Here is a 26,279-nt window from a genome sequence, read left to right on the forward strand (position 1 = left end):
ATATTATGTGCATGGGTTACTATGCCTGCAATGCCATGGGCCTTTTAAAAATATTATAGATACATATGAATATGAAGCAGAAAAGCATTCAAGACCTCAAGGGGATATTACTTACTAAGAAACCCTTGTCTTCATTTGTAATAATGCATGCACATTCTGGGTGGCTTAAAACAAGAAAAATTTCTCTCACAGTTTTATAGGCTAGGGGTCTGAAATCAAGGTGTCTACAGGGCCATCTTGCCTGTGAAACCTGTAGAGGAATGTTCCTTCCTTGCTTTTTCCAGTTTCTGGTAGCCCCAGACATTCTTGGCTTGTGGCAGTATACTTCCAATCTCTGCCTCTGTCTTCAAATGACATTTTCCTGTATCTTCCTTCATGTGACCATCTTCTTATAAGGACAGTAGTTATATTGGATTAGGAGCCCATCCTACTCAAATATGACCTCATCTTAACTTGATTACATCTGCAATGACTATTTCCAAATAAGGCCACATTCTGAGGTCCTGGAGGTTAAGATTTCAACACATCTTTTGGTGGACACAATTCAATCTATAACACCATTTACCATGCTTCTCTTCTTATCCCTTCCTAAACTTCTAATGCCAAATAACAGTTACTGCTGATCACATGTACTGACTACCTCACTAATGTACAGGTAGAACAGAATGTTGGTTTAGATAATGGTTCTTTCAGAAATCAAAACTATTGTGTCAAGTTTTTCTTTATTATAATTAAGAGTAAGTCAAATGAGAAAAAAAGAACTGATTATCTCTTATATTAATATTATTGCATAGATCTTCATCTGCAGGCAAATATTTTGCCAAAAATAACATTTTACAAGAAATGCAGACAAGTGCAAATGAGAAAGACATCCCAACATGAGATTTTCTTTATGATATTATGGAAGGAATTGGGTGGGTGGGCAGGGAAGAGGGGCAACCTTTCCAAAAGTATCACCAAGTCCAAACAAACCATTTGAGAGGATGTACAGAAAGCAGGGCCTTGATGTCCTGAGTTCATATCCTGATTGTGCTATTAACAACCTTTATTACTTTCAAAAAGTTACTTAAACTCTCCATCTCAGCTTTTTCATACATAAAATGGGGATAACAATGATGTCTTAAAGGACTATGGAGAAGACTGTGAGATATTTTGAGAAGCGCCTGGCCCAACACTTGACCTATGATGAGAGCTCATTAAATGTTGGCTCCTCTTTACAACGTGTTTAGAACTATTATTTTGAGGAAGGAGGTAGCTTTATATCATATTACATACTCAGAAAAAAAAAGTCACAATGGTTTTATTCCTTCCAATCCAAATAAGTTATGATTATATACAATCAAGTATTCTTAATTCAGAGGAAAATCTTTTAATTACACTATCTCTTGATAATACATCATAGTAATAGAGAAGCACACATTTATATACCATAGACATGTCAGACACTATTTTAAAATTCTTTACATTAACTGATTTGTTCTTTTTTTAATTGTTTAGTTTTAATTTTTGTGAATACATAAGGTGTATATATTTGTGGGTTGCATCAGATACTTTGATACAGGCATGCAGTGTATAATAATCACATCATGGAGAATGGGGTATCCATCCCCTCAAGCATTTATCCCTTTGTGTTTCAAACAATCCAACTATACTCTTTCAGTTATTTTTAAATGTACAATTAAATTATTTTTCACTGTAGTCCCCCTGTAGCACTAGCACACAGTAGTTCTTATTCATTCTTTCCATTTGTTTTATACCCACTAACCATCCACACGTGCCCCCAACTCCCCATTACCTTCCCAGCCTCTAATAACAATGCTTCTACTCTCTATGTCCATGAGTTCAATGGTTTTCATTTTTAGCTCCCACAAATAGGTGGGAACTTGCCAACTTTTTTCTTTCTGTAACTGGCTTATTTCACTTAACATCATGATCTCCAGTTCCACCCATATTGTTACAAATGACAGGTTCTCATTCTTTTTATAGCTGAGTAGTACTCCATTCTGTGTATGTACAATTTGTTTATCCATTCATCTGTTGGTAGACATTTAGGTTGATTCCAAATTTTGGCTATTGTGAATAGTGCTGCAATATATATGGGAGTGCAGATATCTCTTTGATATATTAATTACCTTTCTTTTGGGTATACACCTAGCAGTGGAATTGCTAGATCGTATGCTAGCTCAATTTTCAGTCATTTGAGGGACCTCCAAACTGTTCTCCACAGTGTTTGTACTAATTTACATTCCCACCAACAGTGTTCAAGTGTCCTTGCCATCATTTGTTATTGCCTAGCTTTTGGATAAAAGCCATTTTAAATAGAGTAAGGTAATATCTCATTGCAGTTTTGATTTGCATTTCTCTGAAGATCAGTGATGTTGAGCACCTTTTTATATACCTGTCTGCCATTTGTATGTCTTCTTTGAAGAAATATGTATTCAAATTTTTGGCCCATTTCTTAATCAAATTATTAGATTTTTTCCTACAGAGTTGTTTGAACACATTATATATTCAGGTTATTAATGCCTTGTCAGATGGGTAGCTTGCAAATATTTTCTCCCATTCTGTGGGTTGTCTCATCACTTTGTTGATTGTTTTCTTTGCTGTGCAGAAGCTTTTTAATTTTATGTGATCCCATTTGTTCATTTTTGCTTTGGTTTCCTGTGCTTGTGAGGTATTACTCAAGAAATCTTTGCCCACTCCAGTGTCCTGGAGAGTTTCCCCAATGTTTTCTTTTAGTAGTTTCATAGTTTGAGGTCTTAGATTTAAGTCTTTAATCCATTTTGATTTGATTTTTGTATATGTCCAGGAATAGGGGTCTAATTTCATTCTTCTGCATATGGATATACGGTTTTCCCAGCACTATTTATTGAAGAGACTGTTCTTTCCTCAATGGATGTTCTTGGCCTGTAGTTTTATTTTCTTGTGAGTCTTTGTCTGGTTTTGGTATCAGGGTAATACTGACCTCATAAAATGAGTTTAGAAGTGTTCTCTTCTCCTCTACTTTTTAGAATAGTTTGAGTAGGAGTTGGGTATTTATTGTGGTCTTCTGTATTAGTCTGTTTTCACGTTACTGATAAAGACATACTTGAGACTGGGTAATTTATACAGAAGAGGTTTGATGGACTCATGGTTCAATGTGGCTCGGGAGGCCTCACAATTGTGACGGAAAGCAAAAGGCATGTCTTACATGGCAGCAGACTAGGGAGAATGAGAACCAACCGAAAGGGGTTTCCCCTTAAAAAACCACTAGATCTCATGAGACTTATTCACTATCATGAGAACAGTATGGGGAAAACCACCCCCATGATTCAGTTATCTCCCACTGAGTCCCTCCCACAATATATGGGAATTATGGGAGCTCCAATTCAAGACAATATTTGGGCAAGGACACAGCCAAACCATATCATCTTCACTGTCTGGGCTTATTTGTACCTGTCCTTCTTGGGAAGGCTTTCCAGATATTGGAAAGGACTTGGGTATTGTGGTCTAAGGTGCATATGCTTTAGTGGGCACCGCGAGTCAGTAATGCTGTGGTTCCTGTGGGCTCATAGAGGTACTGCCTTGATGGTCTTGGACAAGATCTGATAGAATTCTCTGGATTACCAGGCAGAGACTCTTGTTCTCTTCTCTTACATTCTCCCAAACATAGAGTCTCTCTCTCTCTGTTCTGAGCCACCTAAAGCTGGGGATGGAGTGACACAAGCACCTCTGTGGCTACCACCACTATGACCATGCTGGGTCAGACCTGAAGCAAGCACAGCTCTGGGTCTTGCCCAAGGCCTGCTCTAACCACTCCCTGGCTACTGCCTCTGTTCACTCAAGGCCCTGGGGCTCTATAATCAGCAGGTGGCAAAGCCAGCCAGGCCTATGTCCTTCCATTCAGGATGGTGAGGTCCGCCATTCCCCAGATGGGTCCAGAAGTGCTGTTTGGGAGTCATGGTCTAGAGTAGAAAAACTTATAAGTCTACGTACTGTTCTATTGTACTGCAGCAGTGCTGGCACTCAAGCCACAAGATGCAGTCCTTCCACCTCTTTCCTCCCTTTTCCCAAGGCAGAGGAGCCTCACCCCATAGCCACTGCCACCCCAGGCACAAGGGGTACTGACAGACTACCACCAATGTTTCCAAGGTCTCTTACTTCAGCTTGTCATGTATGCTGTCTGGCCTGGGACTCACCCTTCAGGACAGTGGGCTCCCCTTTGTCCCAGGGCAGGTCTAGAAGAAATGCCATCCAAGAGTCAAGTCCTGGAATTGGGGATGCCTAGGGCCCACTTGGCCTAGAGCCAAGCTTTGTGGCTGTGCTGGTACCTAAGGTGCAAGATGAAGTCTCCTTTGCTTTTCCCTCTGCTTTTCTTAAGCAGGAGTTTTTGCCTGATAGCCACCACAGCAGATAATGTGCTGAGTATCACCTGAAGCCAGCAAGTCTCAGAGGCTCACCCAAGGTACTCAATGTAGTACTTGGCTATCACTACTAGTTATTCAGGGCCCAAGGACTCTTCAGTTAGCAGGTGATAAATGCTGGCAGGACTGGGTTCTTTCCTTCAAGGCAGCAGGTTCCCTTCTGGCCCAGAGTGTGTCAAGAAAGGTTTTCTGGGAACTAGGGCCTGGAACAAGGGCCTCATGACTCTGACCAATGCCCTATCCTGCTGTGGCTGAACTGGGTGCCTAGATGCAAGAGAAAGTCCTCCCCACCCTTCCCTTTCTCTCCTTAAATGGTAAGAAGGGGTCTCTTTTCGAGCCATGAGATATGCAGCCTGGAGATGGGGAGGAGTGATGCCAGCACTTCCTTGGCTGACCCAGCTGGTGTTTCAGTATGTTGCATGCCCCCCCAGTCCACTGTCTCTGAGCTGGTTCACCACTAGGACTGCCTAAGAGTTGCAGCCTTTATGGCCTAGACTGCCTTTCTAGTTTACTTGGAGACACAGAGTGCTGTAGCCCTCAGTGGTGAGGTCTGTAGGAACTCAAGTTCAGACCACTAGGACTGGTGATTCTCCTCTGGCTAGGGCTGGTTTAAATGCTCCCTTCATGGGTAAGCATCAACTGAGTTTGGCCTAGTTTTTCTTTCTGCTCTAACAGGACAGCACTGAGTTCCATGTCTCACAATTGCTGTGTTCTCCCTCCGTTGGTGCCCAGAGATGCTCTCCACACCACATGGTGACTGCCAGGGCTAGGGCAGGTGTGGCACAGACAATTCATTACTGTTTTCTCTAACTCTTCAATGCCTCTTTTAGTGATATAAAGATAAACAAGGTACTATGAGTGCTTGCCTGATTTTCGGTTCTTATGAAGGTGTTTTTTTCTCTGTAGATAGTTGTTAACTCAGTGTCCTTGTTGGGGGGTTATGATCAGTGGAGCTTTTTATTCCACCATCTTGCTCTGCCTCTTGGTTTGTTTAATTTCCATGTGTTTGTATACTTTCCAAAATTACTCTTATTATTGATTTCTAGTTTCATTCTATTGTGGTCAGAGAAGATGTTTGATACTATTTCAATTTTTTTTAATGTTTTAAGACTTGTTTTGTGACCTAACATGTGGTATATTTTTGAGAACGATCCATGTGCTCAGGAGAAGAATGTGTTTTCTTCAGCCACTGAATTAAATATTCTGTAAATATGTATTAGGTCTATTTGTTCTATAGTGCAGATTATGTCTGATGTTTCTTTGTTGATTTTGTATCTGGAAGATCTATCCAATGCTGAAAATGAGGTACCGAAATCTCCAGCTATTATTGTATTGGAGTCCATCTCTCTCTTCAGTTCTAGTAATATTTGCTTTATTTATCTGGGCACTCTAGTGTTGGGTACATGTATATTTACAATTGCTATATCCTCTTGCTGAATTGACATTTATCCTTATATACTGATCTTATTTGTCTCTTCTCAAATTTTTTGTCTGGAAATCTATTTTTTCTGATACAAGTATTGCTATGCCTGCTCTTTCCATTGGCATAGAATATATATTTTCATTCTTTTGTTTTCAGTCTATGTGCACATTTATGGATGCAGTGTGTTTCTTGTAGGCATCAGATCACTGGGTCATGTTTTCTCATCCACTCAGCAATTCTATGTCTTTTGATTGGAGAGTTTAGTCCATTTACATTCAATGTTATAATTGATAAGTAAAGACTTACTCCCGCCATTTTGTTGTTTTCTGGTTGTTTTGTGTTTTTCTCTTCTTCCTTTACTTCCTTCCTGTCTTCCTTTTAGTGAAGATGATTTTCACTGGTGGTATGTTTTCATTTCTTGCTCCTTATTTTTTGTGTATCCATTATATGTTTTTAGATTTCAGGTTACCATGAGGCTTACAAATAATATCATATAACCCATTAGTTTAAACTGATGACAACTTAACCCTGATTCCATAAACAAACAAGAAAAAGAAAACTAAAAAAGAACAAAAAACAAAAACAAAAAAAAAAGCCCTCTATGCTTTAATTTCGTCTTCGCACTTTTAACTTTTTGTCTCTCTATTAATGTCTTATGGTACTTCCTGTGTCTTAAAAAGTTGTTGTAGTTACTATATTTGATTGGTTCATCTTTTCATCTTTCCATTTAAGATATGAGCAGTGTATACATCACAATTACAGTGTTACAATACTCTATGTTCTCCTGTGTATTTTCTATTATCAGTGAGTTTTCTGCCCTCAGATGATTTCTTATTCCTCATTAATGTCCTTTTCTTTCAGATCAAAGAATTCCCTTTAGCATTTCTTGTAAGACAGGTCTGGTGTTGATGAAATCCCTCAGGTTTTGTTTGTCTGGGAAAGTCTCTATTCCTCTTTCATGTCTGAAGGATATTTTCACCAGATATACTATTCTAGGTTAAAAGTGTTTTCCTTCAGCACTTTATATATGTCATGCCACTCTCTCCTGGCCTGTAAAGTTTCCACTGAAAATTCTTCTGCCATATGTATTAGAGCTCCACTGTATGCACAGCACTGGATCTCATGCCAGGCCTGCTCTAACCTCTCCCTTGCTACCACCTATGTTTGTTTGCTCAAGAACCTGGGGCTCTGACATCAGCAGGTAGCAAAGCCAGCCAGGTCTGTATTCTTCCTTTCAGGACAGCCAGTTCCCTCAGGCCCCAGGTGGGTCCAGAGCTGTAGTCCAGGAAACAGGGACTAGAGTCAAAATCCTTAGAAGTCTACCTGCTGTTCTAGTGTAGTGCAGCTAAGATGACACTCAAACCACGAAATGCAGTCCTTTCCAGTCTTTTCTCCTCTTTTCAAAGGTGGAGGAGTTTTACCCCACAGCCACTGCCACCACAGGCTCATGAATAGTATTGCCTGACTACTGCTGATGTTCCCTCAAGGGCTCTTCAGTCAGCTTGTGCTGAATGCTGCCAGGCCTGGGACTCACCCTTCAGGGCACTGGGCTCCCTTCTGGTCCAGGGGATATCTAGAAATACTGTCCAAAATGTAAGGCCTGGAACTGGAGACCCCAAGAGCCCATTTGGTGCTCTATCTCACTATGACCAAGCTGGTATGTAAGGTGCAAGACAAAGTTCCCTTTACTTTTCCCTCTGCTTTTCTCAAGTAGAAGGAGTCTCTCACCATAGCCACCACAGCTGGGAATGATCTGGGTCTCACCTGAAGCCACTGCATCTCAGAGTCTCACCCACAGCAGAAATAACCAGCAGCAATATGGCATACTACCTTGGTATTGCTGCTGGTTATTCAGGGCCCTAGGGCTCTTTAGTTAGCAGGTGATGAATCCTGCTAGGACTTCTTCCTTTCATTCAAGACAGCAGGTTCTTTTCTGACCCAGGTTGTGTCTAGAAACGTTGTCCAGGAGGTAGATCCTAGAATGGGGGCCTCACTATTCTGCCTGATGCCCTTTCCTACTGTGGCTGAGCTTATATTCAAAATACAAGACAAAATCCTCTTTACTCTTCCCCTCTCCTCTTCTCAAGCAGAATAAAGGACTCTCTCATTGCTTCAAGCTGTGCTGCCTGTGGCTAGGGGAAGGGTGGCACAGGCTCTCCATTAGCCACCCTGGCTGGTCTCTCCCTAGGTCATATGCCTCCCATGTCCACTGGGTCTGAGCCCAACACAGCACTAGGACTTGCCTAGAAATTGCAGCTTCTGTGGCCTAGGCTGCCTTTCAAGTTTATTTAGAACCACAGAGTACTTTAGCCAGCGATGGCAAGGCTTGCCAAAACTCAATTTTCAACTGCTGGAATGAGTGATTCCCTTCTAACTAGAGCTGGTCTCATTTTCCTTCTGTGGGCAAGTATCAGCTGACTTAAGCCCGGTTTTGTTTTGTGCTGTGACCCAGGGAAGCACTGAGTCCAATGAACAGTCCCACAGGCACTGCATGCTCCCTCCTCCCTCCTGCAAGGACTGAGACTCTCTTCCTGCCATATGACCACTGCAACAGATGAGGGAAGGGTTGTGTCAGAGATTCAAGACTGTCTTTCCTACCCTCTTCAGTGCCTCTTTCAGTGATATGAAGTTAAAACCAGGTACTGTGATTGCTTACCTAATTTTTGGTTCTTTGGAAGGTCCTTTTCTGTGTAGATAGTGGTCGAATTTGGTGTTCCTGTTGTGGGGGACTATCAGTGGAGGCTTTCATTAGGCCATCTTGGTCCACCCCTCCATTTCTGGTTTATTCTTCCCAGAAACCCAACGGGGTGAATGCAGAAGCGGGTTTCAAGACAACTAATGGCATTTCATTAGAGACTCTAACAATGCATTCATGTGGTTGTATATATTTGAAATTTTGCAAAAATAATTTTATATTCTTTTCTTATGAGGCCCCTAAATTGTATAACGTTTAGCCACAAAACTAAGTCCATTCTCAGTTATGTACTAATATTAAACCCTTTTATAGATAAGGCAAATGAGACAGATAATTTCAGTGATATTTATTTCCATTTATATTTTATATTTTTTTAGCATTCCAAGGCTTTTTATGCCTTTGGAGATATTTTTTTTTCTGCCAGAATTCCAGTGATCATGATTTATGCTAATTTTTTTCTAAATTATTTATTCTATGAAAACACTAATTCTTGGTGAAGCATATATTGTCTTCCACAACAATTAAGAGTGAGCCCCCTCTGTGTCTGCTTTCAAAGAACAGCAAAAAGTACAAAGGTATTACACCGGCCCCTGGGTCTGTCAGAGCTGGTGACCCACTTCTTAAAAAGCTTCATTAGGCTCAATCTTTCTATGAGTTTTATCATATTTTAAGTCATACATTGTTTCTGATCTCATATAAAACTGTTCTTATATGCCATATATCAAGCTAGAATGTATTCAAATTCAGTACTCCATTTCTTTGACTTAATATTTATGTTTAATTTCCTAATCACTCTATCCTTTAAATGTTTCAATATTATCACCCTGTTTGCAATTCTTTCTGGTTTGTGAGTTTATATGCATTTCAGTGTGAGCTGTTGAGTGCCTTATGGACATTAATCTCATCATTTTACAGAGCCTGGTATCAAAACGTGTAACAAGATTAAATTGGGAGAAAGATAGTATTTATAATAAAATTTTTATCTACTATTTATTCTCACAGACTCTCTGAAATATTGCTGAGAAAAATCAGGATGAATATCTTGAATATGGAATCAAAAGGTGTATGTGGAACTCGAGCTTTACGAAAAGATGTCACACGCCACGCCCCTCCCAACTCCGTATACTTTTAACAACAAAGGAGCAGTGCCTTATATTTCCAGTCTAAGCCCATGTTTTCTTACATACCCATGGGAAATCTGAAGTCCCCTGGTCACCCTTCACCACCCTCTTCTTGTGCCTCCCTATAGTACTCTTACCCCATGTAATTTATGATTCAGTATTCAAGGAGGCAGAGTTCTCAAGAAGTTCCTAATTTCCATGTGAGACCTCTTCAGGCTGGACTTTGCAATCCATATCACTATCAACATTTTGGTCACAACTATTCTAACAAGTCTCTAGGAGGTTCCAAAATTTTCCTCATCTTCCTGTCTTTTTCTCAGCCCTCCAGACTCTTCCAATCGCTGCCTGTCACCCAGTTCCGAAGTCACTTCCATATTTTCAAATATCTTTATAGCAATGCCCCGCTCCTTGGTATCAATTTTCTGGAGGCATTCAGAAGACTCTGAAAACATTTACTCAAAAAGATTAATTTAATGTAATACCTAAATGTCTTCAGATATTTAAATAGCCAATGAGGAATTGAACTGATAATAAGCATGTCAAAAATGAAGGAAATGGAAAAAGGACACAAGTATTAATTCCAGGGATTTATTAGTCCATTTTCACACTGCTATGAAGAACTACCTGAGACTGGGTAATTTATAAATAGACTTAATTGACTCATGGTTCTGCATGACTGGGAGCAGGACTCAGGAAATTTACAATCATGGCTGAAGGCAAAGGGGAAGCAAGGCACATCTTATATGATGGCAGAAGAGAGAGAGAGAACAAAGGGGGGACTGCCACACACTTTTAAACCATCAGATCTTGTGAGAACTCACTCACTGTCATGAGAACAGCATGGAAGAAACCACTCCCATGATCCAAACACCTTCCACAAGCTACCTCCTTTGACACATGGGGATTACAGTTCAAGATGAGATTTGGGTGGGGACACAGAGCCAAACCATAGCAAGGGAAAACAAAAAGTTGTGAAATATGTCAATAATGTTTGCACATTCAAAGTAGTGTAAATATGAATTGATTATTGGCATTAACTAACACTTTAATTTTATTATATTATGCAGTTGGGGTTACAAAAGTTAAAAGTGAACAATGGAAGATGAAGGAGAAAAAGATCTTCAAAGCCTTCTCCTCTATATTGAAAAATCAATAGACCATGCCCAAAATTGAAAAAGAATCAAGAAATAATACACAATCATGCTATTTGGAGAAATAAATGTAAACACCAAATAATAAGATGGAAGACAGGGGACTGCAAACATGGTTGCCCTGGGAAGTGGTAATTAAGGGAATGGGGATGGGGCAGGGGATTAATGTTCTTCATAACAGAACAATGTAGCCATTTGACTTTAAATTACCGACACTTGGCCAGGTGTGGTGGCTCATACCTGTCATCCCAATGCTTTGGGAAGCCAAGGGGGGAGGACTGCTTGAGGCAAGAAGTTTGAGACAAGCCTGTACAACATAGTGAGACACCCATCGCTACATACAATTTTTTTAAATTAGCCAGGTGTGATGGTGCATGACTGTAGTTCCAGCTACTCAAAAGACAGGTGGGAGAATCGCTTGAGGCCAGGAGGTTAAGGTTGCAGTAAGCTGATTATGCCACAGCACTCTAGCCTGGGTGACAGAGCAAGACCTTGTCTCAATCAATCAATCATGTACACTTATGATTATGACAAAAATTAAAACTAAGAAAAGAGAGAGAGGAGCCAAAAGTAGAAAATTAATAAAATATAAACCAAAATAAAATAGAGAAAACAAAGAACTCAAAAATTGTTTCCTTGCAAACCTGTGAAAAGAGAAGAGGAACCCAAATAAAAAATTTAGCAATAAAAACTGTTACATAATTATATATAGCAGAAGGTAAAAATAAAAGAATGTAATGAATATGTTTCTGAAAATAGTTTTTAAGACAAATGAAATAGACAAATTTAAATAGAAAGAAGGAAAATGTGTGTGTGAGAGAGAGATACCAAGTCTGACTCAAAAAAATAGAAGGCTTTAATAACTCTATAACCATTAAAAATGGTGACTATTAAATGAATCATTAAAATCCTCTCACAAAGGAAAAATCTTCCCTGCATGGTTTATATGAAAATTTTATCAACTTTTCCAAGTTAAAGCATTTTAATATTCTGAAAACTCTTTCAAAAATTAAAATTTTCATGAAATAGTCTCCAATTCAATCTATAATGCTGTTATTCTTTGATATTAAAAGCGAAGTTAGCATGAGGGAAAAAAAAGTAGCGATTAATCTCTCCGATGAATATAGATGAAACAATTCTAAGCTAAATATTTATAAAACAAATCCAACAATATATTAAAATTCACATACTAAATTAAGCTTATTCTGGGAATGCAAAGATGGTTTTACATTAGAAAACCTTAAATGCATGTCCACACTGATTGGAAAAAAATACACATGATCATCTTGATTGATCTAAAAAAAAAAGATTGATAAAATCTCTACTTATTCATAATTTAAAAAAAGAAACCCTCTTAGCAACTAGGAACAGGAGACTTCATTAGCCTGATAAATGATGAACTAGGAATAGTGCACAGGTGATACAAGGATATTGGTAATGTTCTAGTAGTTCTTAAATTGTGTGATAAGTTCATGGGTGTTCACTTATTATGCTTTGTATATACTTTTGTATGTATCAAAGTTACATAATTTTAGTTACATGTGCATTGTATAATTTCTGATCTCTAACATTAGAATTAATGGCAATGATAATTTCTACTCATAACAAAATAATACCAATAAGTTATAAAATTTCCAAGCCCACAAGGAAAAAAAGTAACAAAAAATGTAAGCATCCTAAACTAAGATAATGAGAAAAAAAGAGAAACAAAACAGCTTGGAAAACAAAATGTAAAACAAGTTAAAGAAAATAAATTGGAACATAACAGTAAACAGAAAATGCAAATAGATTGTATTCCATATTTTCAAACAAAAATTCTCAGATTATTTTAAAAATACAACTGCATGCTATTTGCTAGAAACATGATTATAAGAAAAACAGACAAAGTTATTAACAGAAAAAAAGAAAAATTGTTCAGAAAAATATCACATAAAGAAAAGTAGTGTGATGATATTAAAGAACAGAATTCAACGGGAAAATATTTAATAGAATAAGCAGGGAAATGTTCGACTGATAAAAGTTATAGTCTATCTAGACAATATAAAAGTCATAAAACTATATGTACTTAACTTTATAAACCTTGAAATATAAAGCAGTATTATAAATACAAGAAGAAATTGATAATTCCAAATCCAGGTGAGAAAATTTAACATGCATTTTCTCAGCAAATCAGATGACAAAAAATAAGGATACAGAGAATCTGGGTAGCATTATATTTACATTTAATACTAATAGTTACCTCAAACAAAAATAATTGACTGGATTAAGAAAATGTGGCACATATACACCATGGAATACCATGCAGCCGTAAAAAATGATGAGTTCATGTCCTTTGTAGGGACATGGATGAAATTGGAAAACATCATTCTCAGTAAACTATCACAAGGACAAAAAACCAAACACCGCATGTTCTCACTCATAGGTGGGAATTGAACAATGAGAACACATGGACACAGGAAGGGGAACATCACACTCTGGGGACTGTTGTGGGGTTGGGGGAGCGAGGAGGGATAGCATTAGGAGATATACCTAATGCTAAATGACTAGTTAATGGGTGCAGCACACCAGCATGGCACATGTATACATATGTAACTAACCTGCACATTGGGCACATGTACCCTAAAACTTAAAGTATAATAATAATGAAATAAAATAAAAATTCACATTTTTTACAAATATGTATGGAAGCTTTATATACAGACAGTATAACAGAAACAGAACCAATTGGAAAGACTGAAAACCCCAAATGAGACATTTACCACAAAGTAGGAATTGTTTGTTTAGCCTTTTTACAATGTACATAGTAACAGGTATAATGAATACAAAAATTTCATCTTTGTTCATCTCTAATCTCCAGGGAGCCTGGATGTTATCAAAGATGAATGCCCCACAGTTACCCTGACATAAAAGAATTTACCACTTCCTGTAACAAGCAATTAGATAGAAGGACTTTTATTTTCTTTATTTGCATTTTAGCTAATTGACTAATAATCTTAGATTAATAAATGTCAACATTATTAAAACAAGACAAATCTGTATTATAAACTAACAAGTTTCCATAAGCATGACACCAAAGTTTATAGACTAGAGAATACAAAGACTTCCTAAATTAAAGTTATGGGCCCATTTTTGGTAACTATGTCTCTGTCACGAAAATAGAAAAGAAAATATCACACTAGATCCTTCGCTGCTTTAGAAGACAATATTACAACACTTAGATTACACTATAGACGGCTAGATGTAAGGGAAAAAAAAGGAAAAGAGAAGGGGAAGACAGATACATAACAAAGTAGGATAGAAGATTAAATTGTGAGGTACCAATCAATTATCAAAGCTCAGAATGGTGAAAGAGAAAAATCCACAATGCTGGTAATATCATCAAGGATGGTTCCATAAACTAATAGAATTTGAGAAGCCTTGTTTTGATAGATAAGTAGCCAAATATTAAGTGAGAAGCAAGAGCAAAAAGAAAGGTGATGGGGCCTCAGGAGTGAGGTGAATAATATACATGAAAGTTATGAAAAATTCTTTTTTTTTTTTGAGATGGAGTGGGGGATGGAATCTCACTCTCCACTTGTAAGCCCAAGTGCAGTTTGTGCCACTTTTACCGGTGGGGTCACTTCTTACAGCCCCAGAAAGGGTGTTTTCAGGCTCTGAAAAGCACACACTTTGGTTTCCTTTGTCCTGGGGGCCATCTTTTTGATGTGCTGTGCCATCTTGCTTCCAGGGAGTAGTACTCCCGGTAGGATAGAGTACTGAGGACCCTGCAGTGCCTTTTGGTCCAGCCAGCACTGTGCTGCTATGGCCCTCAGGGTGGACACTGGGGGATGTCAGTGGAGGTTTCTGGGATGTTGTCATATGGGGGCTGTGGTTCCCAGGGAAGGATGTAGTCCTGTGATTGTGTTCTCTCACAACGGCACCCTACTGCAGCCACATAGGTGTTAAGGGTGTGAGGGACTCAGTGCAAGTTCCCTATCTGGTGCAATGCCCTCATGGAGTCTCCAGATCACTGCGTATGCTAGTTTCAGGGATCATGTGGGTAGAGGATCTCTCCCATAGTCAGATTGTTTCCGTGCAGTGAGGATGTGGACCACTGAAGGTCTCTAACTTACCCTTTGCTCTCAATACTGAACCCCTTGGGGCTCCGAGCTTATCTTGGCCAAGCTGGCCACTAGCTTCTTTCTCCGTCTGCACCTTACATGTTACTCATGCCTTCTCTGTTGGACTGTAGTGGCCTCTCCTAGATGTTCTATTTGAGGTGTGATAATCTGTTGGTAATTTTGGTTCTTTCTGGGGAATGCAAATGTCCAGTGTCTCTAGCAAGCCATCTTGAACCTGCGTCAGATCACAATCAAATTTAATTCACCAGTTTATCCTAGACAAATAACTCATGGTCCCAGTGAAGACGGGACTGAGCTCTTTGATGACAAAGGCCACACTTTCTATATGCAGATGATATCATGGACTCATTATTAGAAAAACCTGTGTGTTTTACTGATTTTCCAGTAGAATTAAGGAATAATATCTTTTGGGTATACTCTGCCTCCCTATTCTTGCTATGAGTATCCACTGATCCTTCTATCTCTTGTAGAGCATATTTCTTTCCCTGCCCTTTAAGTCTAATGCCTTCTTATTCTGTGTCTTTGTCTCCTATTCCAATACAAAATGCTATCTTTAAAGTAGACCTAAAACTTCAGAGGCAGACATGGCAATTACAAAAATAATTATCACTTCTCTCAATGAGGAAGAGCCTTACTCAAGGGAAAGACACAGAGCTCTCCGCTTACCTTTTAAGATTTGTAGATTAGATTAGGTTTTGCTAAACACAAGCCAAAAGGATATAATAAAGGTGAAATCTTAAAATCAAAAAAAAAAAGGAGAAAGAAAAAATTTCCAAGCTAAAAAGAGCCAGCTTTAGTAAACCAAAACAAGAGGGACACAGCTAATACAAAAGAAATAGGCATGAAAAAGAAAGGTTGACAAGCTGGGCCGACCATAGTGGCCCATGCCAGTAACACCAGCACTTTGAGACGCCAAGGCAGGAAGATCACTTGGGCCCAGGAGCTCAACACCAGCCTGGGCAACATAAGGGGACCCCGTCTCTACAACAAATTTTTAAAAAGTAGCCACTCAGGTGGCAGACACCTGTAGTCCCAGCTACTCAGGAAGCTGAGGCGGGAGGATCACTTGAGCCCAAAGGTCAAGACTGCAGTGAGCCATAATTGTGCCAGTTCACTCCAGTCTGGATGACACACTAAAATCCTGTCTTAAAAAAAAAGAAAGAGAGAGAGAGAGAGAGAGAGAAAGATTAACAAGCTAACTTAAGTAGCAAAAATCAAAAATAAAAAATGAATTATTTTACTGGAAAGCACAAACTGTTTATCTAATTTCCTCTAATTAACATACTTTTTAAAAGCGTTATTAAGAAAATTTCAATGTCACCTTATCCATTATAGTTCAATGATTCTGTTATGTTAAACAAAATGAGTGCTCCCACAAATTGACAAATCACTATATTTTCTTCTAGTAATTGTTCCAGATCATTTATAATTATGAAGTATATGAAAGTACTTTAAAAAGGAAAAGGACTTAGATACATTTAAGATATTAGAACTGATCATGCAGATAAAACAGTTCATAGTAGCAAATAAAGAAGGAAAGAAGATGCATATAATTATCTTTTTTGCATATATAGACATAAATTAGATTATATAGTCCCTGCCAAGACTAGTTAAAGCTGAAGCACTCTGCCTGGTGCAATGGCTCATGCCTGTAATCCCAGATACTTGGGAGGCTGAGGCAAGAGAATTGCTTGAGGCTAGTAGTTCAAGACCAGCCTGGGTAACATAGCAAGACCCTATCTCTAAAAAAAAAAATAAATTAGCTTGGCATGGTGATACATGCCTGTAGTCCCAGCAGGAACTGCAGCAGGAGGATGGCTTCAGACCAAGAGTTTGAGACTGCACTGAGCTAAGATCACACCACTGCACTCCAGCCCGGGCAACAGAGCAACACTTTGTCTCTAAAAATGAATGAATGAATGAATGAATGAATGAATAAGTAAATAAAACTGAAGCACTACTCTCTATCACTTTTGCAGGTCAATCTTCTGTTGGTCCTATGGTCAAATTCTTCTACTCTTAACTCCAGATTAGGAAGTAGATTCCATAGACCCTCTCTCTGCAAAGATCTTCTCAAAACTCTAATGAAAGCCAACTCACAACTTTAGTAATACCAGAAGATACACTTCAAACCACAAAAAAAAATCCTAAAATAATATTGACACAACAGAAGCTATCTTGATTAACTGGTTAAAATAACTGATGTTTTCCATATTCAAATTATGTCTTACAGAGAAATTAGCATAAGACAATCTGGAAAATCCATTGGGGCTGGGGGTCAACATAAAAAGCAGTTAGGCAAAAGCCTTTACCATGAATTCTTTTTAAATCTACTTTTCAATCGATTAACCATGCTCTAGTTGTGGCTATAGCAAATGAGAAGTTTCTATTATTTTTTCACTTTTTTTGCAACTATAATGCATTTTGGTGTAGAAGTGAAAGTATAGTGAGGAACAGAAAAACAGCTGTAGCTTTTCAGCTCCAGAAGAGCAGAACTCAGTTGACAGTACACTATGAGTTTATGATGCTGTATCCCATATCACAACATTCAGTGCTAATTTAAAATATGTCATAATGGTGATTTGTAGTCCACATGTCAGTCATTTCAACATGTTAATTTTAAATTTTTGTGTAATTGGCGTATACCATCATCAGTTTCTAAAACCCCAAGTGGCTTTAACACCGTAAGAACATTAAAATAGCCCTCCCGCTATGCAAGGACACAACAAGAAGGTACCATTCTATGAATTAGACTGTGTCCTCGCCAAACACCAAGTCGGCCAGATCTTGATCTTGGACTTCTCAAACTCCATAACTGAGATGACTGTTCTATGCAAGTAATGGCAGCATTTTACATTCGTAAAGTTAAAAATAATGGAATGAGATAGTCATCCGAAAATAGCCAAATAGGAACAGCTCCAGTCTGCAGCTCCCAGTGAGATCAACACGGAAGGTGGGTGATTTCTGCATTTCCAACTGAGATACCTGGCTCATCTCATTGGGACTGGTTAGATAGTGGGTGCAGCCCACAGTGGGTGAGCCAAAGCAGGGTGGGGCGTCACCTTGCTGGGAAGTGCAAGGGATTGGAAACTCCCTCCCCTAGCCAAGGGAAGCCATGAGGGACTGTGCCATGAGGAATGGCGCATTCTGGCCCAGATACTATTCTTTTCCCACCATCTTCACAACCAGCAGACAAGAAGATTCCCTCAGATGCCTATACCACCAGGGCCCAGGGTTTCAAGCGCAAAATTGGGTGGTCATTTGGGCAGACACCAAGCTAGCTGCAGAAGTTTTTTTCATACCCCAGTGGCACCTGGAACACCAGTGAGACAGAATCATTCACTCCCCTGAAAAGAAGGCTAAAGTCAAGGAACCAAGTGGTCGAGCTCAGTGGTTCCCACCCCTACAGAGCCCAGCAAGCTAAGATACAATGGCTTGAAATTCTCGCTGCGAGCACAACAGTCTGAAGTCAATCTGGGAATCTCAAGCGTGGTCGGGGGAGGGGAATCTGCCATTACTGAGGCTTGAGTAGGTGGTTTTCCCCTCACAGTGTAAAAAAAGCCACCAAGAGTTTGAACTGCATGGAGCACACCAAAGCTCAGCAAAGCCACTGTAGCCAGATTGCCTGTCTAGATTCCTCCTCTCTAGGCACGGCATCTCTGAAAGAAAGGCAAGCAGCCCCAGTCAGGGGCTTATAGATACAACTCCCCACTCCCTGGGACAAAGCACCTGGGGAAAGGGGAGGTAATGGGCGCAGCTTCAGCTGACTTAAACCTTCCCGCCTGCCGGCTCTGAAGAGAGCAATGAATCTCCCAGCACAGTGCTCGAGCTCTGCTAAGGGACAGACTGCCTCCTCAAGTGGGTCCCTGACCCCTGTGCCTCCTGACTGGGAGACACCTCCCAGCAGGGTTCGGCAGACACCTCATTTAGGAGAGTTCCGGTTGGCATCTGGCAAGTGCCCCTCTGGGATGAAGCTTCCAGATGAAGCAACAGGCAGCAATCCTTGCTGTTCTGCAGCCTCCGCTGGTGATACCCAGGCAAACAGGGTCTGGAGTGGACATCCAGCAAACTCCAGCAGACCTAGGGCAGAGGGGCCTGACTGTTAGAAGGAAAACTAATAAACAGAAAGGAATAGCATCAACATCAACAAAAAGGACATCCACACAGAAACCCCATCTGAAGGTCACCAACATCAAAGACCAATGGTAGATAAATCCACGAAGATGAGGAAAACCAGCACAAAAAGGCTGAAAATTCCAAAAACCAGAATGCCTCTTCCCCTGCAAAGGATCACAACTCCTTGCCAGCAAGGGAACAAAAGTGGACAGAGAATGAGTTTGACAAATTGACAGAAGTAGGCTTCAGAAGGTGGGTAATAACCTTCTCTGAGCTAAAGGAGCATGTTCTAACCCAATGCAAGGAAGCTAAGAACCTTGAAAAAAGGTTAGCAGAATTGCTAACTAGAATAACCAGTTTAGAGAAGACCATAATGACCTGATGGAGCTGAAAAACACAGCACGAGAACTTCGTGAAGCATACACAAGTATCAATAGCCAAATCGATCAAGCAAAAGAAAGGATATCAGAGATTGAAGATCAACTTAATGAAATAAAGCATGAAGACAAGATTAGAGAAAAAAGAATAAAAAGGAACAAACAAAGCCTCCAAGAAATATGGGACTATGTGAAAAGACCAAACTTACGCTTGATTGGTGTACATGAAAGTGATGGGGAGAATGGAACCAAGTTGAAAAATACTTTTCAAGATATTATCCAGGAGAACTTCCCCAACCCAGCAAAACAGACCAACATTCAAATTCAGGAAATACAGAGAACACCACAAGGATACTCATTGAGAAGAACAACCCCAAGACAAATAATCGTCAGATTCACCAACATTGAAGTGAAGGAAAAAGTGTTAAGGGCAGCCAGAGAGAAAGGTCAGGTTACCCACAAAGGGAAGCCCATCAAACTAACATAAGACTAGCAGAGGACCTCTCTGCAGAAACCCTGCAAGCCAGAATATAGTGGGGGCCAATATTCAACATTCTTAAAGAAAAGAATTTTTGACCCAGAATTTCATATCCAGCCAAACTAAGCTTCATAAGTGAAGGAGAAATAAAATCCTTTACAGACAAGCAAATGCTGAGAGATTTTGTCACCACCAGGCCTGCCCTATAAGAGCTCCTGAAGGAAGCACTAAACATGGAAAGGAATAACCAGTACCAGCCACTGCAAAAACATGCCAAATTGTAAAGACCATTGAGGCTAGGAAGAAACTGCATCAAATAACCAGCAAAATAACCAGCTAACATCATAACGACAGGATCAAATTCATGCATAACAATATTAACCTTAAATGTAAATGGGCTAAATGCTCCAATTAAAAGACACAGACTGGCAAATTGGATAAAGACTCAAGACCCATCAGTGTGCTATATTCAGGAGACCCATCTTATGTGCAAAGACACACATAGGCTCAAAACAAAGACATGGAGGAATGTTTACCAAGCGAATGGAAAGCAAAAAAAAAAGCAGAGGTTGCAATCCTAGTCTCTGATAAAACAGACTTTAAACCAACAAAGATCAAAAAAGACAACAGCATTACATAATGGTAAAGGGATCAATGCAACAAGAAGAGCTAACTATCCTAAATATATATGCACCCAATACAGGAGCATCCAGATTCATAAAGCAAGTTCTTAGAGACCTACAAAGAGACTTAGACTCCCACACAATAATACTGGGAGACTTCAACACCACACTGTCAATATTAGACAGATCAACAGAGACAGAAAATTAACAAGGATATTCAGGACTTGAACTCAACTCTGGACCAAGTGGATCTAACAGACATCTGCAGAACTCTCCACCCAAAATCAACAGAATATACATTCTTCTCAGCACCACATCATACTTATTCTAAAATTGACCACATAATTGGAAGTAAAACACTCCTCAGCAAATGCAAAAGAATGGAAATCATAACAAACAGTCTCTCAGACCACAGTGCAATCAAATTAGAACTCAGGATTAAGAAACTCACTCAAAACTGCACAACTACATGGAAACTGAACAACCTGCTCCTGAATGACTACTGGTTAAATAAGGAAATTAAGGCAGAAATAAATAAGTTATTTGAAACACATGAGAACAAAGACACAACATACCAGAATCTCTGGGACACAGCTAAAGCAGTGTTTGGAGGGAAATTTATAGCACTAAATGCCCACAAGAGAAAGTAGAAAAGAACTAAAATCAACACCCTAACATCACAATTAAAAGAACTAGAGAAACAAGAGCAAACAAATTCAAAAGCTAGCAGAAGACAAGAAATAACTAAGATCAGAGCAGAACTGAAGGACATAGAGACACAAAAAAACCCTTCAAAAATCAATAAATCCAGGAGTTGGTTTTTTGAAAAGATTAACAAAATAGATAGACCGCTAGCCAGACTAATAAAGAAGAAAAGAGAGAAGAATCAAATAGATGCAATAAAAAATGATAAAAGGGATATCACCACTGATCCCATAGAAATACAAACTACCATCAGAGAATACTATAAACACCTCTATGCAAATAAACTAGAAAATCTAGAAGAAATGGATAAATTCCTGGACATATACACCCTCCAAAGACTAAACCAGGAAGAAATTGAATCCCTGAATAGACCAATAACAAGTTCTGAAACTGAGGCAGTAATTAATAGTCTACCAACCAAAAAAAGTTTAGGACCAGACAGATTCACAGCCAAATTCTACCAGAGGTACAAAGAGAAGATGGTACCATTCCTTCTGAAACTATTCCAAACAATAGAAAAAAAGGGACTCCTCCTTAACTCATTTTGCGAGGCCAGCATCATCCTAATACCAAAACTTGGGAGAGACACAAGAAAAGAAAATTTCAGACCAATATCCCTGATGAACATCGATGCAAAAATCCTCAATAAAATACTGGCAAACTGAATCTAGCAGCACATCAAAAGGCTTATCTACCAAGATCAAGCTGGCTTTACCCCGGGATGCAAGGCTGGTTCAACATACGCAAATCAATAAATGTAATCCATCTCATAAACAGAACCAATGACAAAAACCACATGATTATCTCAACAGATGTAGAAAAGGCCTTTGATAAAATTAAACACCCCTTCATGCTAAAAACTCTCAATAAACTAGGTATTGATGGAACGTACATCAAAATAATAAGAGCTACTTATGACAAACCCACAGCCAATATCATACTGAATGGGCAAAAGCTGGAAACACTCCCTTTGAAAACCACCAGCACAAGACAAGGATGCCCTCTCTCACCACTCCTGTTCAACATAGTATGGGAAGTTCTGGCCAGGGGAATCAGGCAAGAGAAAGAAATAAAGGGTATTCAAATAGGAAGAGAGGAAGTCAAATTGTCTCTGTTTGCAGATGACATGATTGTATATTTAGAAAACCCCATCTTCTCAGCCCAAAATCTCCTTAAGCTAATAAGCAACTTCAGCAAAGTCTCAGGCTACAAAATCAATGGGCAAAAATCACAAGCATTCCTATACACTAATAATAGACAAACAGCCAAATCATGAGAGAACTCCCATTCACATTTGCTACAAAGAGAATAAAATACCTAGGAATACAACTTACGAGGGATGTGAAGAACCTCTTCAAGGATAACTACAAACCACTGCTCAATGAAATAAGACAGGACACAAACAAATGGAAAAACATTCCATGCTCATGGACAGGAAGAATCAATATCATCAAAATGGCCATAGTGCCTAAAGTAATTTATAGATTCAATGCTATCCCCACCAAGCTACCATTGACCTTCTTCACAGAATTAGAAAAAAACCACTTAAATGTCATATGGAACCAAAAAAGAACCCGTATAGCCAAGACAATCATAAGCAAAAAGAACAAAACTGGAGGGATCATGCTACCTGACTTTAAACTATACTACAAGGCTACAGTAACCAAAACAACATGGTACTGGCACCAAAACAGATATATAGACCAATAGAACAAAACAGAGGCCTCAGAAATAACACCACACATCTACAACCATCTGATCTTTGACAAACCTGAGAAAAACAAGAAATGGCAAAAGGATTCCCTATGTAATAAACGGTGTTGGGAAAACTGGCTAGCCACATGCAGAAAACTGAAACTGGACCCCTTCCTAACACCTTATACAAAAATTAACTCAAGATGGATTAAAGACTTAAATGTAAGACCTAAAACCATAAAAACCCTAGAAGAAAACCTAGGCAATAACATTCAGGACACAGGCATGGGCAATGGCTTCATGACTAAAACACCAAAGGCAATGGCAACAAAAGCCAAAATAGACAAATGGGATCTAATTAAACTAAAGAGCTTCTGCACAGCAAAAGAAACTATCATCAGAGTGAACAGGCAGCCTAGAGAATGGGACAAAATTTTTGCAATCTATCCATCTGACAAAAGGCTAATATCCAGAATCTACAAGGAACTTAAACAAATTTACAAGAAAAAAGCAAACAACCCCATCAAAAAGTGGACAAAGGATATGAACAGACATTTCTCAAAAGAAGACATTTATGCAACCAACAAATATATGAAAAAAGGCTCATAATCACTGGTCATTAGAGAAATGCAAATCAAAACTACAATGAGATACCATCTCAAGCCAGTTAGAATAGCAATCATTAAAAAGTCAGGAAACAACAGATGCTGGAAAGGATGTGGAGAAATAGGAATGCTTTTATGCTGTTTCTGGGACTGTAAATTAGTTCAACAATTGTGGAAGACAGTGTAGCGATTCTGCAAGGATCTAGAACCAGAAATATCGTTTGACCCAGCAATGCCATTACCGGGTATATACCCAAAGGATTATAAATCATTCTACTATAAAGACATATGCACACATATATTTATTGCAGCACTATTTACAATAGCAAAGACTTGGAACCAACCCAAATGCCCATCAATGATAGACTGGATAAAGAAAATGTGGCAATATACACCATGGAATACTATGCAGCCATAAAAAAGGATGAGTTCATGTCCTTTGCAGGGACATGGATGAAGCTGGAAACCATCATTCTCAGCAAACTAACACAGGAACAGAAAACCAAACACTGCATGTTCTCACTCACAAGTGGGAGTTAAACAATGAGAACACGTGGACACAGGGAGGGAAACATCACACACCAGGGCCTGTTGGCAGGTGGGGGGCTGGGGGAGGGATAGCACTAGGAGAAATACCTAATGTAGGTGACAGGTTGATGGGTGCAGCAAACCACCATGGCACATGTATACCTATGTAACAAACCTGCACATTCTGCACATGTATCCCAAGAGAATATAATTTTTAAAAAATTAAAATAATAAATGCATAAGTGTTACTCATTTATTGAAAAATAAAACCTGAAATGTACTGGATTCAGTCATAATATGTCCAGATATTCTTATATTTTTCCAATATTTAAAGAAAATTAAATTTGTTATCTCCAGGCATTATTTAGGACTGAGGATAATTAGACAATTTTTGAAATTCTATCAATTTTTGAGGTCATTACAACTTATCACTAATTGGGTAATAGCAAGGTGATATGAAAATTTTTCTATTGAAGTCATGTACTTAGAAAAGCTTGTTCAGATCAATAAAAATTATATTCTACAGTCAATTTTAACTATAACAAGTATATTGTAAATGCATATCACTAGTTGCTAGCAAAAAAAGATGAAAAGAAATTAATATTATAGCCCATATTTACTAACTCATTGCTATCTCAAAAACTGTCCCTAACTTTCCACTAATGGCAGCATAATAGCTGAGGGTGTTCCATTCAAAAGAACCATGTCAGAACTTTTAACTTATCTACTTTCAGTCTGACAACTTTGTAAAGTAGATGTCACACCTAATTAGCAGATAGAAAAACTGAGGCTCAAAGAAGTTAGCTAACCTGTCAAAAATTACATGGCTACTAAGTGGAGAAGCAAGGAATCAAACCCAAAGAATGTAAGCCCTCAGAGACTGTATGTGCAAAAGAACAAACTGACTAGCTAGAAGTGGAATCACACCTTCAAAACTGTATTCCAGATTAACGATTTTACATAGTAGAAATATCTAATTTTGAAGATCTCTATTAAAATGATTCTTAAGTTCTTTTTTAAGTTATTAAGTTTCTTTTTAAAAATAAATATTTATAAAATGACTAGTCTAGCTATCAAAATATCACTACCATGGGGGAAATGGGAGAAAATTTTCTGGGATAAAAGAAACTAGAGACATAACAAGTCACTGCAACACACGGCCCTTAGTTGAGTCCTGGTAGGAACAAAATGACTAAAAATATTTTTGCCAAAATTTGAGTATAAACTCAATTTTAGATTATATGTTTGAATTATTAATATTGTTATAGGTTGATGGTGTTGTGTTATAAAAGAAAGGCTTTTTAGAGAGAAATGCTGAAATAGAGAGTAGCTGTTACAATTTCTGTAGTTTACCTTAAGATACTTCAGCAAAACAACTAAGATATATAGCAAAATGTTAAGAATTATGAAAACCAGGGAATGAGTATATAGTTCTACTACCCTCCTCACTTTTCTATATGTTTGAATATTTTTCAAGACAAAAAGTCAAAAATTGTTTTTAATTACTTGTATTTAAAAATTCAGTGTTGATTTTTTGGCTTTAAATACTGCCCTGCACCAGTACTTGGCACCACAGTATTTTTTTTAAATCCTCTGTCCTTTATTAACTTGTCTTATTGACAAGGAAATATGGTGTTCCATCACATTAACTGTCAGAAGGCAATCACTCTGCTTACTTTGAGAGCCCAACAGGAAAGAGTGGATGATCTGTTCCTGTTGGGAGGACCTGGGCCATGGTTGTTTGTTTCTCCGTAAGCGCCTTCAATTACTGTTCCACTACTCATCAAGCACATAAGTTACTCATTGAGAACCTCTGATCGTCACTGTGCTCATCAGGAAGAAATTGATGCACAAAGAACTACTGTCAATCTCAGCAAACCACAACTATTCTTTTCTTTAAAAGTAAATTCCTTGACACAAATGACCTTATCTTAAATCTAATAGATTTCCTATTTCCAAAAAGCTCGACTGGAGTGTTATAAAACCTGAAAATTCTCTTGTGCTTTCTCTTCTTTTGCTTCTAGTTACCATCCTCAAAGGATTGGCTAAAAGCAAGCAACTGGATTGAACACCCTAAGAAGAAAGATTCACACTGCACCAGGTATGTGGATACTTTAGATAGGTTCTAATATAAACTAAACAGCTTTCAAGTAATATACATATATTAAGTAATAGCAATAGTTGTTCTAATACAGTTATTCTCCTCTCTTCTTATGAACTGCCAAACAGTGTGGTAAC

General features: G+C 38.6%; 1 protein-coding gene across 4 annotated transcripts in view; it reads left to right on the forward strand.

Annotated features, from left to right (window-relative positions):
• MUC7 (mucin 7, secreted) overlaps positions 1-26,279 on the forward strand; it is a 52,506-nt gene that overhangs the window by 15,658 nt on the left and 10,569 nt on the right. The window contains exons 1-2 of one of the 4 annotated variants that reach the window (XM_047415723.1): positions 25,775-25,792; positions 26,066-26,142. The gene's annotated coding sequence lies outside the window, so the exon portion shown is untranslated. The other 3 variants (NM_001145007.2, NM_001145006.2, NM_152291.3) reach the window with 3 other exon arrangements.

This window comes from Homo sapiens, chromosome 4, assembly GCF_000001405.40.
Source record: "Homo sapiens chromosome 4, GRCh38.p14 Primary Assembly".
Lineage (NCBI taxonomy): Eukaryota > Metazoa > Chordata > Mammalia > Primates > Hominidae > Homo > Homo sapiens.